The sequence below is a fragment of the Homo sapiens genome, chromosome 4, assembly GCF_000001405.40.
Source record: "Homo sapiens chromosome 4, GRCh38.p14 Primary Assembly".
Taxonomy (NCBI): Eukaryota; Metazoa; Chordata; class Mammalia; order Primates; family Hominidae; genus Homo; species Homo sapiens.
Genome location: NC_000004.12, coordinates 161763343 through 161781808, shown reverse-complemented (window position 1 = coordinate 161781808; position 18466 = coordinate 161763343). Strand labels below are relative to the sequence as shown.

At 33.4% G+C, this 18466-nt stretch overlaps 1 protein-coding gene across 4 annotated transcripts in view; it reads left to right on the top strand.

The window, feature by feature from the left end:
* Nucleotides 1–18466, top strand: part of FSTL5 (follistatin like 5) — a 780104-nt gene that overhangs the window by 382192 nt on the left and 379446 nt on the right. For all 4 annotated transcript variants that reach the window (NM_001128428.3, NM_001128427.3, XM_011532126.1 and 1 more), the window contains exon 5: nt 5735–5931. In NM_001128428.3, coding sequence (NP_001121900.1) covers nt 5735–5931 — 197 coding nt within the window. The remainder of the gene's footprint in view (nt 1–5734; nt 5932–18466) is intronic.

The following is an 18466-nucleotide window of genomic DNA, read 5'->3' as shown; positions in this document are numbered from 1 at the left end:
GAACCCATAGAATGTACAACATCAAGAACTTTAATGTATCTAAAGTAGCATAAGTTAAACTATGGATCTGGAGTGATAATGGTATTCAATATTTGTTCATCGATTGTAACTATGATGTGGGATGTCGATAGCTGGGGAAGAGCTGCATGTGTTGGGGAAAAAGGGTATATTGGAACTCTATAAGTTCTGGTCAATTTTGTAAGCCTAAAACACTAAAAACCAAAGTCTTAAAAAATGCCCCTGTATTTACAATAATCACGGCTCTTTAAATGTACTATGTTCTAATGTGGTGTGTGTAAGTGTATTTGTACTAGTGAATCTCTAGAACTAGACTAGTACCTGAAACATAGTAAGCTTACTTTATTATATATACCTGTAGTACACTTAAGTAAAGTTCAAAAAACACAATACAATTGACACTTTCAATCTTTTTGAAATTTAGGTAGACATTACAGTTTAGATTTAAATTTTTTTTTTTAATTATGTTCAGGCTACCTTTAACCAAGATAATTTTGGTTCCTTCATATACATAGTTTCACTACTTATAATTAATATAAATATGATAGCTTTCCACATTGAATTTGATTCATATATGCATATTAAATACATCAACTGAAGTTTTGACATCTTTTTTATGCTTTAAATACAAAATATTTATCTAAAATATTTGTGTTTTATTAGCAATTATTGAGTAATTTGAGGAAAAACAGTTTCTACATACATTATAATATACAGATAGAATTTATTCTAAATAAAAACATTTTTATTCTTTGAGTTTCTAAGATTTCAGCTTATATTGGAATCAAACTAATCAAATTCTATCAATAAATGTCAAAAAGATAAAACATGGTTTCCTTTTATGCTTTTGATTGAATCTTTTGTGTTGAAGGGAATTGGTACTTTTTACTGGAGGATAGGAGGAAAGGATAAAAGTGTCATTTCAAAGAGATAAGAACAAATTGCAGCCTTTACAAAAACATATTTTACTAAGCATAATTGGTATAATCTATAATTTTTAGCACTTATCATGTACTCAAAACTGATGGTTGTACTCTCAGATGTGTAAGGTGTCATTGTCCTCAGTTCTGTGTGACTTGGAGAGGCACTGCCAGCTATACAGGTGCAGGCATTTGGATGTCAGTGATTCTGCATCCTTGCAGGACCCACAAGGCCAGATGGATTTTCCCTGCCCTTAGAATGACTCTTGAGTCAAAGGTCAGCACAGCCCTAGTGACGCTGTATCCATGGGAAGGAAGATAATCTACAGTTACCAATAAATAAGGATTTTTTCATTTTCACTAGTATATTCTTTGTGTCTAGAACAGGAACAGCAGAGGAGATTTCGCACTGGTCTCCCAGAGCATGAAGTGAATCCAGGAAATTGTTTCTTTTCTTTAGCTATGCCAATCTCACTCTGCCTGTCAATTAACTTGAGAAAATGATTCTATCAAAGTAACCATATAAGCAAACAAAAACTTATTTCCTTCCTGCTTGGTGCTATTTTTGGACTTGGGGAGGGGGCACAATTTCTAAATGTCTCTTCTTCTGTATTAACCGTGCTAGATGTTTTTCTTTCCTATCAATTATTATTAAATAATTATTAAATAATTATACAATTATTTATTTATACAATTATTTATTTATACAATAATTATTAAATAATTATACAACCAATTGCAATGTAAAATTTGCACCATTTAGTCACTAGCATTTTTCTTTAAAGTTACTAATTACCTCCAATTGAAGGACTCCGAGGGACATATTTTGTTTACCTTAATTTTACTCTCAAATGTTTTACATTTCATCACACTCTGTTTCTTGAAAAGTTCTCTCCCTTTGGCTTTCTATTCAATACATTCTAATAGTTTACCTGTTACCTCTTAGATACTACATTTGTGTGTGCATGTGTGTGTGTGTTCTTTCTCCTTCTGTAATATAAACAGTGATATTGCCTAGGGTTTATTTTATATACATATATATATATATATATATATATACATATATATATATATATATATATATATATATATATACATATATATATATATAACTTTACAAATAATCCTTGGACAAATTACAGAATTCATGAAATATTTAATTTTAGCTATTAAATAAAATAGTTAAAAAGAAAAACTGAGTTCTGAAAATGAGAGAAATAAAGTTAGTGGATAAAAGGGAGATATGGCACATATGTAAAAATAATTCTGCCCTTCCTAGTTCTATAACCTTGAACAAGTTATTTCACATCTCTGTGCCTTAGTTCCTCATCTGCAAAATGGTAGTAATCATATTGATTTTCTTTTTGGGTTGTTGGGAAGATTCAATATGTATAAAATGGCTTAATATGTGTAAAGTTTCTGACACATGGGAAGCCTTCTTTACCTGTTATCTATTATTAATAACATACACATATTTATAACTAAAAAGTCTATGACAGAAATTTTCTAAACTAATAAATTCACAAAAAATTATATAATTGCATACATATTGTACATATTTATAGAATATGAATGCCTTAACTGCAATTTTTTTTGGTTATTTTATTTGGATTTCCAGCAACTACCCCAATTTCTGGACTGGAGAAGAAATTTACAACAATTTGGGGAAGGAAAGCATTAATGAGAGTGTTATGATGATCACACTGACTAGATTAGATCAAAATTTGAGTGGGGCAACCCAAACTCTATCCCTCTCCCCAGTTTTAAATACTGGTTAAAGGTTTTCAGTGTTTAACTCCTATTTCCCATCCATCTCTCGCCAACATTCAGATCTCCCCAATGCCATTGGTCTAAGTTCAGCCTCCAGTTCCACATGGCTTCCACTGGCAGTTGATAGAAATGAAGGCAATACAGACCCAGGGTCATGTACAGAAATCCAAGGAAAGGCTATTGGAATGGTGTATAATCCTTTTCAGAATTTTTTTCATCACACATTTCTCTCCTTCCTGATGCACACCTGTGCACTCAGATAAATACATGTTTGCTATTTGAAGGTTCCCTTTGTGCTGCTTTCCCCGATACCAAAATTGCTAGCAATGGCTACGGATTTGATTACTTCTCTCATTTGTCAATGAGTTTCTTGCTGTTATGAAAACATATTCTTATTATTATTCTTTAGTGAGAACAGAATGATACAAAATTGACTTAATCTGCAGCACAAAGTTTACATTTTGTTGTGAAAAAGAACTTGTTGACAGGATTGCTAAAAACCAAAGTGCTGAACAACAATAGTAATTTCACTGTCTTTGAAAAATAAAGACAGTCTATCATCTCTTTGGAAGAGATTGTTTTCCATTTTGTCTCGAAAGAGAATGAGATTCAGATATTGTTTTGCAGCCCCATGCTTCTCAGACACATATTTAAATATCTTTAGACATTTTCTTTTAAAATTGTACATGCTCTTAAGCCTAATTGTCAAAATTGATCATAATTATAAAGTTAGGATTTTTTCCTAAAAATATGTTATAAAAAATCTCAACTAACATAAAACCTATTATGTAATTTTCAAATTATTTATGCACTGCATTTTTTGTAATATATTTCATATCGCATTTGCTGTAAGCAGTATACATGCCATTTCAATATGCCATTTATAAAGACCTCATCATGAGGCCATTGTAAGTAAAATTATTTTCCTTCACATAAAAGAATTGTGTGAAAATATTAGAGAATTTTTTCTTCCTTTTGTGTGTGTGTGTGTGTGTGTGTGTGTGTGTGATACGGAGTCTCACCCTGTCATTCAGTCTGCAGTGCAGTGGTGCAATATTGGCTCACTGCAACCTCTGCCTCCGGGGTTCCAGCGATTCTCCTGCCTCAGCCTCCCGAGTAGCTGGGTTTAGAGGCACGTGCCATCGTGCCCGGCCAATTTTTTTATTTTTAGTAGAGACAGGGTTTCACCATGTTGGCCAGGCTGGCCTCGAACTCCTGACCTCAGGTGATTCCCCTGCCTCAGCCTTCCAAAGTGCTGGGATTACAGACATGAGCCACTGCACCTGGCCGTTATTTACTTCTGAGAGACAGTAATCCAAGAAATTATTTTCACTAACTATGATGTTCCCAGTATTGTGCTGTTATTACATGGCAGGTACTAAATATCTATAACACAGTCTTGCTTCAGTAAGCTTATGATTTAGCTGTGGAGAGGCAAACTTAATGCTTAAAAATAAAAAGTGCAAATATATATCACATTATATACCAGGGGCCCTAAAAAAGAGATGAATGAATATCAGAACATTAAGAAAACACTGTTAGAAGAATACTAATATGATCTTAGTGCTATTAAGAAGTCAGAATTAAGAAAATACATTTATTTTTAGTTTTTTGAGATGCTTCATACTGTTCTTCATAGTGTTTGTACTAATTTACATTCCCACCAGCAGTTTACAGGCAATCCCACTGCTGGATATATACTCAAAAGACAGGAAATTAGAATATCAAAGAGATATCTGCACTCTTATGTTTATCACAGCACTAGTCAAAATAGTCAAGATATGGAATCAACCTAAGTGTTCATCAGCCAATAAATGGATAAGGAAAATATGGTGTGTGTATATATATATATATATACACAATGAAATATTATTCAGTCATAAAAATGAATGAAATACTGGTATTTTCAACAACATGCTGGAACTGGTGGATATTATGTTAAGTGAAATAAACCAGGCATAGAAAGACAAATATCACATGTTCTCACTCAAAGGTGGAAGCTGAAAAAAATAATTGAAGTCATGGCTGTAGAGTAAAGTGATGGTTACCAGAGGTTGGGAAAGATAGTGGCGGGGGTGATGGCGGGAGAATAAAGATGGGTTAGTTGGTTGGGTACAAAATACAGTTAGAAGGAATAAGATCTAATGTTTGGTAAGAAAACAGGGGAACTGTAGTTAACGATAATTTATTGTATATTTCAAAATAATTAAAAACTGGGTTTGGAAAGACCCTAACCTAAAGAAACCATAAATGTTTGAGGTGATCCATATCCCAATTACCCTGATTTTAATCATTGCACATTGTATGCCTGTCTCAAAATACCACATGTAACCCATAAATATGTACAGACATTATGTACATATTTATGTACATAATGTATTTGTAACATTATTTATTTGTAACAACTAAAAATTTTTTTAAATAATAATATAAATGTAAATATATATGTGTGAATGTCATCAATGCAAATCCAAATGTCTAAAACACATTTCAGATTTAAAATGTGGTATCATCTTTTGGAATCTCATATGTATATATACATATATACATACGTATATGTATGCATATACGTACATATATATATTTCAATACAAAATCCAGCACAATCTAATCCTTTGCCTTCAGCAATTGATTTCACCTTCTTGTACTTCATTTTCTGCACCTATAAAACTATCAATACAGAAATATAGAGTAAGGATAAAAACTAAGACAATAAATTTGAACGTTGAAATAAATTTCCAGCTGGAGCTATCATGTTTTTCTATGTCCGTTACAGCATCTATGCCTTCCTCATAAACAAACTACAAAGAAATATGTTGTTATCAGATTTGATAGAGATAAAAGTTTTCTATCCTACCATGGAACTAGCCCATTTTTTTCTTGTACAAGTTGTAAATCGTAAAACACCAGAAAAGTAAAAATTATGTACATAGTATGTTATTCATAAAATAACTTCTAAACCTTAATTAAATAAACTATTTCTTTTCAATAATATTGCTTGAAAATAACTAGTTCTTTTGTTACAGGAGATAAGTGCAAGACTACTGAATACAGCAAGATGAAAAATATGCTATTAGATTTACAAAATCAAAAATATATTATGCAAGAAAATGAAAATCCTAATGGCGACGACATATCTCGGAAGAAGCTATTGGTGGATCAAATGTTTAAATATTTTGATGCAGACAGTAATGGACTTGTAGATATTAATGAACTAACTCAGGTATGATTAGTGACTATATTAACAAACTTACTGAAATATAGCATGCACAATATATTTACTTTTTCTAAATTTACTCTATAATGAAAAAATGTATATTTGATCCATATTATTGAAAAGTATATGAATAACAACATTTTTGTAGCAAACTTGACTACATCATCAGCAATATTAATTTCAAGTAACATTTATATGGTGTTTGACAGTTTAAAAAGAGATATCTACTTCTGATAGATATCTATATCTTAAATACCTAAAGGAATTACAAGTTCTTTATCTTGTAGAATTTATAATATCTTTCCTAATGTATTCTGGAGATCATGCAATGTTTAACTTTCTATAAGTCAATAAAAGCTGATTTATCCAATATTCAAGGGCACTACCGAACAACTGAGCACATTTATAACAAAGTGTATATAAATGATTTAAGATAGTGTTGAATCACTGATGTATTCCAATATTTCTTCAATAATTAAGGACCAATTACTGCATATTCAGTTTGTTTTAGTAGTAGAAATATAAAATAAGAGACATGGGATTTCTTCAAAACTATACACTGATTTTAGAGAATAATGAAGAGAAGAAGCCCAATTAGGCAGCAGAAAAATGATGACAGCACTGATGATTTTGCTGACTTCTTGATGATCCCTATAACATATCTTGAGGTGGATTTTGCTCCTACCCTTAACAGTGAATATAGGTTTGGGGTGAGGGAAGTAGACCATTTTTATAATATGCTATTCATTTTTTTCTGGTTAATTTTATGGCTTATTTAAAAAATCTGGCATTGTGGAGTATTGGTCTTATTAAACAAGTATTTCGAAGCTTTGCAATAGTGTAACTTAATTTAAAAACTTTATCTCAAAGTAACATTGTGAGCAAATTGATTATAGTTATCATCATTCAAACTAATTAAAATTCACATCATTTTTATTGTCTTTTCTAATGCAGCCTCACATTTATTTTGTAGTTACCAAATCCTAGGCATTGGAATTTAAGGAATTCAGAGTAAAATTGGAAGATATTTTAATTAGGATATCTATGCTGTCATACACCTCATGATTTATTTCTTAAGAATAAAATTTATACTTTATAGTAATAAGAATAAATAACTAGTTAATTAAATTAAAATAAATTTCTAATTTAAGCACTTTTATCTATGTGTGCCTAACATATATATTGTTATTTTGAGAGTTTTTTTTTCACTTTTTATGCTTTTAATTTTTATCAATTGTTTTGTTGTTTTTGTTGTTATTTTAGTTTTTATTAACATATCTGCACCACCATAGCCACGGACTGGATTTTAAAAAAGACATCAGATCAAGTCGATCTGGTCTGGATTTGGACATCTAAATCCAAAGGAAAGATGGCTAGTCACTGGACAGCACTTTACTCATACATGTTTCAAGCTTCTGCCATGTTCAAGTTTGTATTAGTTTCCTAGGGCTCGCATAAGAAAATACCACAAACTGTGTGGCTAAAACAGCAGAAATTTATCCTCTCAATCCTGGAAGTTGGAAGTTCAGAATTGTGGTGTTGACAGGGCCATGCTTCCTCTGAACTTGGAAGTGGGGGTGAGAGAAGGGTCCTTTCTTGCTTCTTTCAGCTTCAGGTGGCCCTAAGCCTTCCCTTGCATTTGTGATGTTGTAGGGAAATCACACCAATCTGCTTCTATAGTCACATGTTGTCCTCCCTGTGTGTTTATCTTTACCTAGTCTTGCCTCCCAAGTAGCTGGGACTACAGGCACCCGCCACCATGCCTGGCTAATTTTTTTGTATTTTTAGTAGAGACGGGGTTTCACCATGTTACCCAGGATGGTCTCAATCTCCTGACCTCGTGATCCACCAGTCTCGTCCTCCCAAAGTGCTGGGATTACATGCGTGAGCCACCACGCCCGGCCATATCACAATTTCTTTATCCACTCATTGAATGATGGATGTGGGCTGATTCCATAGTTTTGCAATTGACAATTGTGCTACTATAAACATAAGAGTGCAAGTATATTTTTCATATAATGACTTGTTTTCTTCTTGGTAGATACCCAGTAGTGGGATTGCTAGATCAAATGGTAGTTCTATTTTTAGTTCTTTAAGGACTCTCCACACTGTTTTCCATAGTGGTTGTACTAGTTTACGTTTCCCACCAGCGGTGTACAAGTATTCCCTTTGACCACATCCACATCAACATTTTTTTTAAAAGTTTAGATTATGGCCATTTTTGCAGGAGTAAGGTGGTATCACATGGTGATTTTGATTTGCATTTCCCTGACCATTAGTGATGTTGAGCATTTTTTCATGTTTGTTGGCCATTTGTATATCTTCTTTTGAGAATTGTCTATTAATGTCCTTAGCCCACTTTTTGATAAAATTTTTTGTTTTTTTCTTGCTGATTTGTTTGAGTTCCTTGCAGATTCTGTATATTAGTCATTTGTCAGATATATAGATTGCAAAGATTTTCTCCCACTCTGTGGGTTGTCTGTTTACTCTGTTGATTGTTTCTTTTGCTGTACAGAGGCTTTTTAGTTTAATTAAGTCTCATCTATTTATCTTTGTTTTTGTTGCATTTGCTTTTGGGTTCTTGGTCATGAAGTCTTTGCCTAAGCCAATGTCTAGAAAGGTTTTTCTGATGTTATCTTCTAGAATTTTTATGGTTACAGGACTTTGATTTATGTCCTTGATCCATCTTGAGTTGATTTCTGTATAGGTGCGAGATGAGGATCCAGTTTCATTCTTCTCCATGTGGTTTGCCAATTATCCCAGCACCATCTGTTGAATAGAGTGTCCTTCCCTCACTTTATGTTTTTGTTTGCTTTGTCAAAGATCACTGGCTGTAAGTATTTGGCTTTATTTCTGAGCTCTCTATTCTGTTTCATTGGTCTTTGTGCCTACTTTTATACCAGTACCATGCTGTTTTGGTGACTATGGCCTTATAGTATAGTATGAAATCAGGTAGTGTGATTCCTCCAGATTTGTTCTTTTTGCTTAGCCTTGCATTGGCTATGCAGGCTCTTTTTTGGTTCCATATGAATTTTTGGATTGTTTTTTCCAGTTCTGTGAAGAATGATGGAGGTATTTTAGTGGGAATTGCATTGGATTTATAGATTGCTTTTGGAAGTATGGTCATTTTCACAAAATTGATTTTACCTATCCATGAGCATGAGATGTGTTTCCATTTGCTTTTGTCTTCTATGATGTTTTTCAGTAGTGATTTGTAGTTTTCCTTGTAGAGGTCTTTCACCTCCTTGGTTAGGTATATTCCTAAGTATTTTATTTTTTGCAGCTATTGTAAAAGGCATTGAGTTCTTGATTTGATTCTCAGCTTGGTTGCTGGTGGTGTATAGCAGAGCTACTGATTTGTGTACATTAATTTTGTATCCTGAAACTGCTGAATTCATTTATCAGTTCTAGGAGCTTTTTGGATGAGTCGTTAAGAGTTTTGTAGGTATACAGTCATATTATCAGCAAACAGCGACAGTTTGACTTCCTCTTTATCATTTTGCATGCCCTTTAATATTGAATTTTAAAATAATTTAAATTAGAATAAAAAGAGAAAGGATCTTAACAGTGTCTGTTAATAATTTACAAACTATTCTTAGCAAAGAATGTAATATATAACTCTAAGTTACAGCCAGTCATAAGTAAAAGTTAAAGAATATAATTTGTCCCTGGGTTTTATAAATGCAGCAGGAAAACTGGCTGCACACATTCTATAGTTAGTCCACATAATGAAGATGTATTCTTGAGTTTCTCTTCAAGATTTTCAAGTAAATTAGAACCTAGAGGCCTGTCTATTTGAGAAAAAAAAGACATAAAAAAATCAGTGGATAAAGAAGGTAGGCTCTTTAGAATCTCAGCTAGCAGGTTGTCATAGCAAAAAGGTCTGCTAAAATGAACTGACCAGTTATAGAAATAGATCTCATTCAATCCACCTCTTCATCATTCTAACTTAACAGAATTGTCCATAATTGCACAGTTAGTCTTTCAGTCTGAGACCTATTTTTGTGTTTGGAGAATATCTAACAAAAAATGCAAATGTATATCAAAGTGAAATTTTAAACTCCCAAAGTGTGAGGATCACAGGCGTGAGCCACGGTGCCCAGCTGAAATTTTAAACTTTTACAAGAACTGTGTTTTATGAAGTTGACAATATTGATTTTAAAACACTTAGTATCAATCAAACATATGGAAGGATTAAAACAGGTTATAACTGAAGAAGGGACATCAACAAAGATTAAGATGGAACATACATTTCATTTTCAAGACCAAAAGATAATATTTCAAGTAGCAAAGGAGTAGTGGCCCTAAATTGATGAAATCCTAGGATATTTTTTATAAGTTATCTTTTTGATGCTCATAACATAGTGGTTAAGAACTTTTATTATAAAGTCTGGGTTCAAATCACATCTCTACTACTTTCCAAGTAGGATGGCTATTTACTTAAAGCTTCTGTGTCTTAGTTTCTCGATATATAAACTGGCAATGATAATAGTACCCAGTATGTAAATTTCATGTGACACTGTTATTATTTAGAACATGCAAGCTTATTGGAAACATTGCTAGCACATAGAAAGCATGATGTACTTGTTACTTATACGTACACTTTCATATCATTTGTGAAGATGTAGTAGATTATAATAGAGATAAAGGGAAGGCATATTCTTGAAATAGTGGATGAGTGATTGATAAATATTTTGTAATGCTTACAGTTGGATAGTGCATAAGAACAAAACAAATACTGTAAGCAGCCATTATAACCCAGAAATCTATGTGCACAACTTTATGCTAGTAAAAACTTTAGCATTGATTTTTATAATAAAATAATTGTCCTGCCATAGAAGAGGAATAATTTTTCTTATTTCAAGAAATTAGAAAAATAAACGATAGCACAATATTCGTTTTGTTCATCTCATTTAAGGAGCTTATCTACCTGTCTCATATAGCTCGCATGAGTGTTCCTAATCCTAAGAATTCTCTCCTAGAGACAACTAAACATTGACATTCTGCGACCACTGTAATATTGGGCTGTATCCCCCCAGATAATGTAGTGTCTATGCCTTTATAGATAAAATGTTAAATTGAACTGAACTTAAAATAAATATTATATATATTTTGTTTTAAGATGCTAATAAATATTACATTACAATTTGTCTACATATATTGAAGTATTATATACTTAAATTCATGCAGTTTTTTTCTTGCCCATAAAATTAAGTTTTAAAAATAATGAAAACGTTGTCTTGAACAAGAGGACATACATATGTGATGAAAGAAACAATATATTTTCATTAGTTATATTTTACAATTTAAATACTTAAACATCTGTAAGTCCTCAGATATGCATGACTATAATCAAGATTCTGTCGCTTTTTATTTATTAATTTTTAATTTTTATGAGTACATAGTAGGTATATATACATAAGGGTTACATGAGACACTTTGATATAGGGATGCAATATACAGTAATCACATCATGGAAAATGGGGTATCCATCACCTCAAGCATCTATCCTTTTTGCTACAAGCAATTCAATTAAATTCTTCTAGTTGCGGAAAATGTACAATATTAGCATTGTCTATAGTCACTCTGTTGTGCTATAAAATACTAGATCTTATTCATTACCCATTGACCATCTCCACCTCCCACCAACCTACACCCACTATCCTTCCCAACCTGTGGTAATCACCATTCTATGCTCTATCGCTGTAAGTTCAATTGTTTCCATTTGTAGCTCCCACAAATAAGTAAGAATATATGAAGTTTGTCTTTCTGTGCCTGGCTTATTTCATGTAACATAATGATCTCCAGTTCCATCCATGTTGTTGCAAATGACAGGATTTCATTCTTTTTTATGGCTAAATGCTACTCCATCATGTATACAGGCCACATTTTCTTTATCCATTCATCTGTTGATAAACACTTATGTTGCTTCCAAATCTTGGCTATTGTGAATAGTTTTTTTGGTGGAGTCTTTAGGTTTTTTTTTTCAAATATAAGATTATATCACCTGCAAACAACAGTAATTTGACTTCTTTCTTTCCAAATTTTATTTCTTTCTCTTTTCTGATTGCTCTAGCTAGGACTTCCAGAACTATTTTGAAAAGCAGTGTTGAAAGTGAGCATCCTTGTCATGTTCTAGATCTTAGAGAAAAGGCTTTCAGTTTTTCTGCATTTAGTATGATGCTAGCTGTGGGTTTGTTGTATATTTCTTCTATCCCCAGTTTTCTAAGCTTTTTATCATGAAGGGTGTTGAATATTATCAAATGCTTTTTCAGCATCAAATTGACAAGATTATATGCTTTTTGCTCTTCTTTCTGTTGATATGATATATCACATTGATTTATTTGAGTAAGTTGAACCATTTTTGCATCACTGGGATAAATCCCACTTGATCATGATGAATGATCTTTTGAAGTTATTGTTGAATTCAGTGTGCCAGTATTTTGCTGAGGACTTTTGCGTCAATGTTTATCAGGAATATTGGCCTATAGTTTTCATTTTTTGATATACCTTTTTCTGGTTTTGGAATCAGGGTAATACTGGTCTCATGGAATGAGTTTGAAAGTTTTCCTTCCTCTTCTAATTTTCAGAATAGTTTGAGTAAGATTAGTATTAGTTCTTTAAATGTTTAGTAAAATCCAGCAGAGAAGCTTGGGTCCCAGTCTTATTTTTGCTGAAGGAATTTTTATTACAGCTTCAATCTCATTACTTGTTATTAGTCTGTTCAGATATTGGATTTCTTCCTGGTTCAATATTGGTAGGTTACATGTGTCTAGAAAGTTATCCATTTCTTCTAGGTTTTTCAATTTATTGGCATATAGTTGCTCATAGGGGCATCTAATGATCCTTTGAATTTCTGTAGTATCAGTTTTAATGTCTAGTTTTTCATCTCTGATTTTTATTTATTTTGGTTTTCTTTCCTTTTACCTTAATCTGGCTAAAGGTTTGTCAATTTTATTTATCTTTTTAAAAGACCAACTTTTCATTTTGCTTATCTTTTGTATCATTTTCTTTCTTCAATTTCATTTATTTCTGTTCTAATTTTTATTTTTTTTTATTCTATTGACTTTGGGTTTGGTTGGCTTTTACTTTTCCTTGAGATTCATTAAGTTCTTTAAGATTCTTTATTAGGTTGTTTATTTAAAGTTTTTCCACTCTTTTGATGTAGGCGCTGTTGCTTCTTTTGTACTTCCCTTTGAGCTCTGAAAAAAACATCCATTTGCAAAATGGCATGAATATTTGATTGAAGATGTATAAGAGAGATAGACGGTGGGTTTACATTACATATTACACAAATCACACATTGAAATACAGTTTAGATTGAGTACTTCCTTTATGTTTTATTTCCTTGTATTCTGTATAGAATATAAGAGCCTTGCCTTCCTTACACCCTAGATATAATGGATAAGTCTGTCTCTCAAGTCGAATTTCTGTACTTTTCCTGGGGCTCCAAATTCCTTATTATGCAAAACAGTGTGATTGTATTTTAGATCCTCCTCCTAAATTTGTATAACCAAATATATCACATTTCACAGTTACCAACATCTACCTTCCTTGAAAACGAATGGCAAGGTATATATTCTGTAAGTTGCCATTCATTTTTAAGGAAGGTAGAGTTAATAACAATATCAAGATTAATAGCAGTATCTATCATAGACTTCCCTTAGGGGCACAGATATTTGAAGTTCTAGAGGCTAGTGGAAATTCCTGGTCTCTGTCTTGTGCCATATATTTTACATCTTCAGAGCCAGATAAAATCCTCATATTTTTCAATTTCCTCAAGTGTGTATCACACCCACTTTTAGCCCTCTCTTGAGGGTTTCTGCCTCTCCAAAAAAATACAGACGTACATGATAAGATAGGGTGGGGAACTTATCAAATGTGTTTCTTGCAGGAATAGAACAGAAGGTTCTCTCTCGCATATGTGCGTTAATTACCATCTGAAAAAGTTAAAGTTTTACACACACAGATTTTTTTTCGTTGGTGTGTCTTTGTTTTTCATTGCCTATTTTCTCTTTATTGAAAATGCATAGATGATAATTTGATTCTTTAATTCTGAGTGGCTCTCTTTTATGTTGTTTTGAATAAATCTGTGCTATATTGTCTGAATCCTATTCAGAATGAGTATGTGGAACTCTGAATCGTCCTATTTCATCTACCAGTAACCGATTCTGGTAATGAAAGAACTAAAAATACTTGCTATTCCATTTGCATAAGGTGTGAAATCTCTACCTTAGCTTTTCCCTTTAAAATATAAACAGGTGTCTGAGGTTCATCTTTGTTATCTAGATCTTTGTATTCCTTCTCTTAAGCTATCTTCTCCAACAGTAAGAATTCAGCACTCTCTTTGGGGCTGTTGTAAAATCTCAGTTTCAATAAAGCTTGCTTAAGTGAAAATTGTGGTTGAAAAGCTACGGTCTAAATTGACTTAATTTTACAATGTACGTCTCAGAGAATAAATCCCTGAAAAGCCTCGACAAACGTGTAAAGAACTTTCTTTCTTGAAAGAATGTCACAAACTTGACCAAGGCATCTTAGTCTCTCCCATAAGTATTGTAAGTACATCGTGAGTCACTCAGCCACACAACACATTTGTGGTTTTGAGAACATAGATTATGACTAAAACAGACCTGGATGTGCAATTCTTGAAAGCAAAATTCTGAATGAAATAACCTAAGGTATGGGCATATTCTTTTTGACAGGCCAACATGTAGAAAAAAAGTCACTGCAAGAAAGAAGGTTAATGATAATTTCTTATGAAAAGGAGCATAGAGCTCTTCTGGGTGGTTTATTCACATTGTTATTTAAGTCACTGGGAATATTGAAAGACTATGGGTAGACAGAAATACTGAGAAACAGGAGCTAAACTTTGGGGAGAGGATAGGAGAGTCATGTAACCGAATGGCCTGAGATTCAAAGGAGTGAGATCTATCTATCTATCTATCTATCTATCTATCTATCTATCTATCTATCAATCGATCTATCATCTATTGTCTATCTATCTGTATCTGTATATCCATCTATCTTTTATATCTGTATATTTCTAATTATCTATCTGGAAAACGACTTGCTTGGGAAACATAAATAATCCAGAAGTGCCTATACAGCCGTTGTCTACACCTTTCTTACACTGAAGTACAACAGATATGAGAAAAATTAGCCTCTGATTAAATTCATTAAAATTACTGAACGAATAATTTTAAGGGGAAGCCAGATTTTTCTAAAGTCAGTATGGTGAAGAATATATTTGTATAAGTAATTGAGGACAAAAGAGTTTTCTGATTGAGCAGGATTTCCCGAAGACACAATGATGGGTTTAGGTTGGAGAATCATGGGTTTGGGGCCAAACTGGAAACTGTGCAGAGCAATATGGGGAACCATCGATTTCACTGGGTCACAGAAATAAACCACGGTATGAAATACAAATGCATTTTTGTCCAGAGTGTTACTTAGAGGAGCATAGGCAACTATTTCTGGCATCGTGGTCCTGCATATTTGGTTCACAGTGTCAGATGAGGGGAGGCACAGCAGGCTTCACTTGGTAGAATGGCGGCCTCAGTTTGTCAGCAGCAAACAGAGGACTTGAAATGGTACTAACAACATGAAAAATCTGCTTCTTAGCCCTTTCCCCATTTGATAAAATAACACTCATAGAATTTAAGTGAGCAAAGTCATTCCCTTGTGATTCTGAATTTAGATAAGCAGCTGCGTTGAGTATATTGATTTAGGTTTTTCTCCATTTAGATTCTGTCATCTTAATAAACTGATTTACATTAAAAATGCATATTAGGAGCTGGCGCGGTGGCTCACGCCTGTAATCTCATCAACTTTGGGAGGCGGAGGTGGGTGGATCATGACGTAAGGAGTTCGGGACCGGCCTGGCCAAGATGGTGAAACCCCGTCTCTACTAAAAATACAAAAATTAGCCGGGCATGGTGGCGAGCACCTGTAATCCCAGCGACTGGGGAGGCTGAGGCAGGAGAATCGCTTGAACCCGGGAGGCAAGGTTGCAGTGAGCCGAGATTGTGCCACAGTACTCTAGCCAGGGTGACAGAGCAAGACTCTGTCTCAAAAAAAAAAAAAATGCATATTAGAATAAAATACTTCCCTTATATAAACATATGTCAATTCTTTATTAAAATAATGAAAAGAACTACTTATTCACAGGATTTAGATTATTATGTTATACGTATTTGACTTAAAATGCCATTTGCTCAATGACTGCCATGTGTGAATATACTTACAGAATTAAATTAAAAGTGAGCATGAATAAGAGTGTATATTTTCAAGCTTACAAGATGGGACTGCCAATAGGTTTTTGCAGCATTTTTACAAATGAAGTATTTTTCTTTAAAAATCATTACAAATGTTACAAGGGGAAATGAACAGTTAATCTTTACGCTGAGTTCATAAACTCTTTCACAATTATAAGTATTTGTAAAAAGGTTCTGATTTAGTCAACATATTTATTTGCTATGAGATTTATAATAGCCGTTTTATCTCACAGATAAAATGCTGTTTCAGTGGGACAAAGTAAATACAAATAAATAAGCACTTGTATGGATAGAAGAGTGAGATTAAGTGAGAATTTCCAGGGAATGCCATGGTAATTAATCCTATTTAACATCAGAGAGTGTAAAGCATAATGATGTTTGTCCAGATCATCCCTTAGAGCAGAATGGACAACTATTTCATGCATTTAAATGCCCATAATTCCATCAGTAATACAAAATAAGGCAGGAGAAACCAGGTGTTTGACTTAGAATGACATTGTCAATGCCAGTGGGTGGATCTTAGTAGTGTTGGCAATTTCCCTGCCATTAGCTAAAGATTTGAGAATAATAAGAGCAACAATGATCACTTAACAGAGAAAGATAAAGCCTGTAACTGTTGTTATATGCCCAGCTCAAAGCTACAATTACAAAATTAGTACTTTCAATTGTACCTGGAAATGTTAGTAACTAGTTTCAGTTATTTTTTAAGCGCTGTTCGTAACAAACACAAGGTAACTATAGTATTAACATTTAGGCTTTAAAATATTAAACATATTATTTGTAGTATCTTTACTTTAGATGGTCAAGATGCATTTAAAAACTTAGTATTCATGTTCAGAAAATCCTTGTGAGCCATGTAGGATACCTTAAAAATAAAATACTTTTCTTTCCACCAGTGGTTTAATGAAAATAATGATATCTCTTCAACTGGTCTTTCAAAAAAATTAAAGTTGGCTATATTGATTTTTTTTAAATGTTATATTAGGCACTTTAGGAAACCTAAAAGAAAATGTAATTATTTCCATTCAATCTTTTTAAAAATACATCTCCAGGCCAGATGCAGTGGCTCACACCTGTAATCCCAGCACTTTGGGAGGCTGAGGCAGGTGGACAACCTGAAGTCAGGAGTTCAAGTCCAGCCTGGCCAACATGGTAAAACCCCGTCTCTACTAAAAACACAAAAATTAGCTGGGCGTGGTGGTGGGAGCCTGTAGTCCCAGCTACTCGGGTGGCTGAGGCAGGAGAATTGCTTGAACCCAGGAGGCAAAGGTTGCAGTGAGCCGAGATCGCACCACTGCATTCCAGCCTGGACAACAAGAGTGAAACTCCCTCTCAAAAACAATAACAACAAAAATACATCTCTTGTAGGATAGCATTTGTTATATATAACTAAACACATAAAATGTGTAATATTAGTTATTAACTCTGTCCTTTCACATGATCTATTTTTTAGAGTACTGCTGATAATATGTAATTATCTCACTTAATAATTAGATTGCTGTTTCCAGTGATCATCTCTAGAATAAAAACTCAATGAGAGCAGGGACTGTGACATTCTTATTAATTCACCTCCAGCACTTAGTATAGTTTTGGGCACGTGTTGGTTGAAAATAAGGAAAAGGAAAGAGAGAGGGAAGAAAGGAAAAAGAAGAAAGGAAGAAAGGGGGGAGACAAGAAGCTGTTCAGACCAAGTAGCCCAAGAACCAGCTTATATTGACTGTATGGGAGAAGCATACATCTAATACCCGGAAATGTACATTCTTCTCACCGAAGGGGTATACTTATTTTCTTACCTTTAGTCTTTGAAGTAATGTACATATTACCTCAAATCAAATGGGCTTTCTTTTGATTAGAGGAGCACTGGGCACTGAGCATATGACTTCAACATGATCATGATTAGTTTGGGAAAAATATTTTTGCAAAGGATGGAGAAGAACTCAAATAACTCAAACATATGAATGGTACGTTACTCTATGAGTTCACAATTGCTATTTCTTGCCTGTCTCCACCAAAGAGAGTAAATAAGTGGACATAGAACTAGAAGATCCTACTTTTCTGTCCTTCTCTCCCCTACACCCATAGCTTCATAGCCATGACTTGCCTTCACATTATCAAAATCAATCCCATGTCTTGTATATCTTCCATGAAAGTCAGCATAAAAATCTTGTACTTCCAAATCATCCCCTAATCCCAGAAATCTAACACCCATACCTCTCTATACTTGGGAGACAGTACCTTTACATCCACTTCTGGCACATTCAATTTTT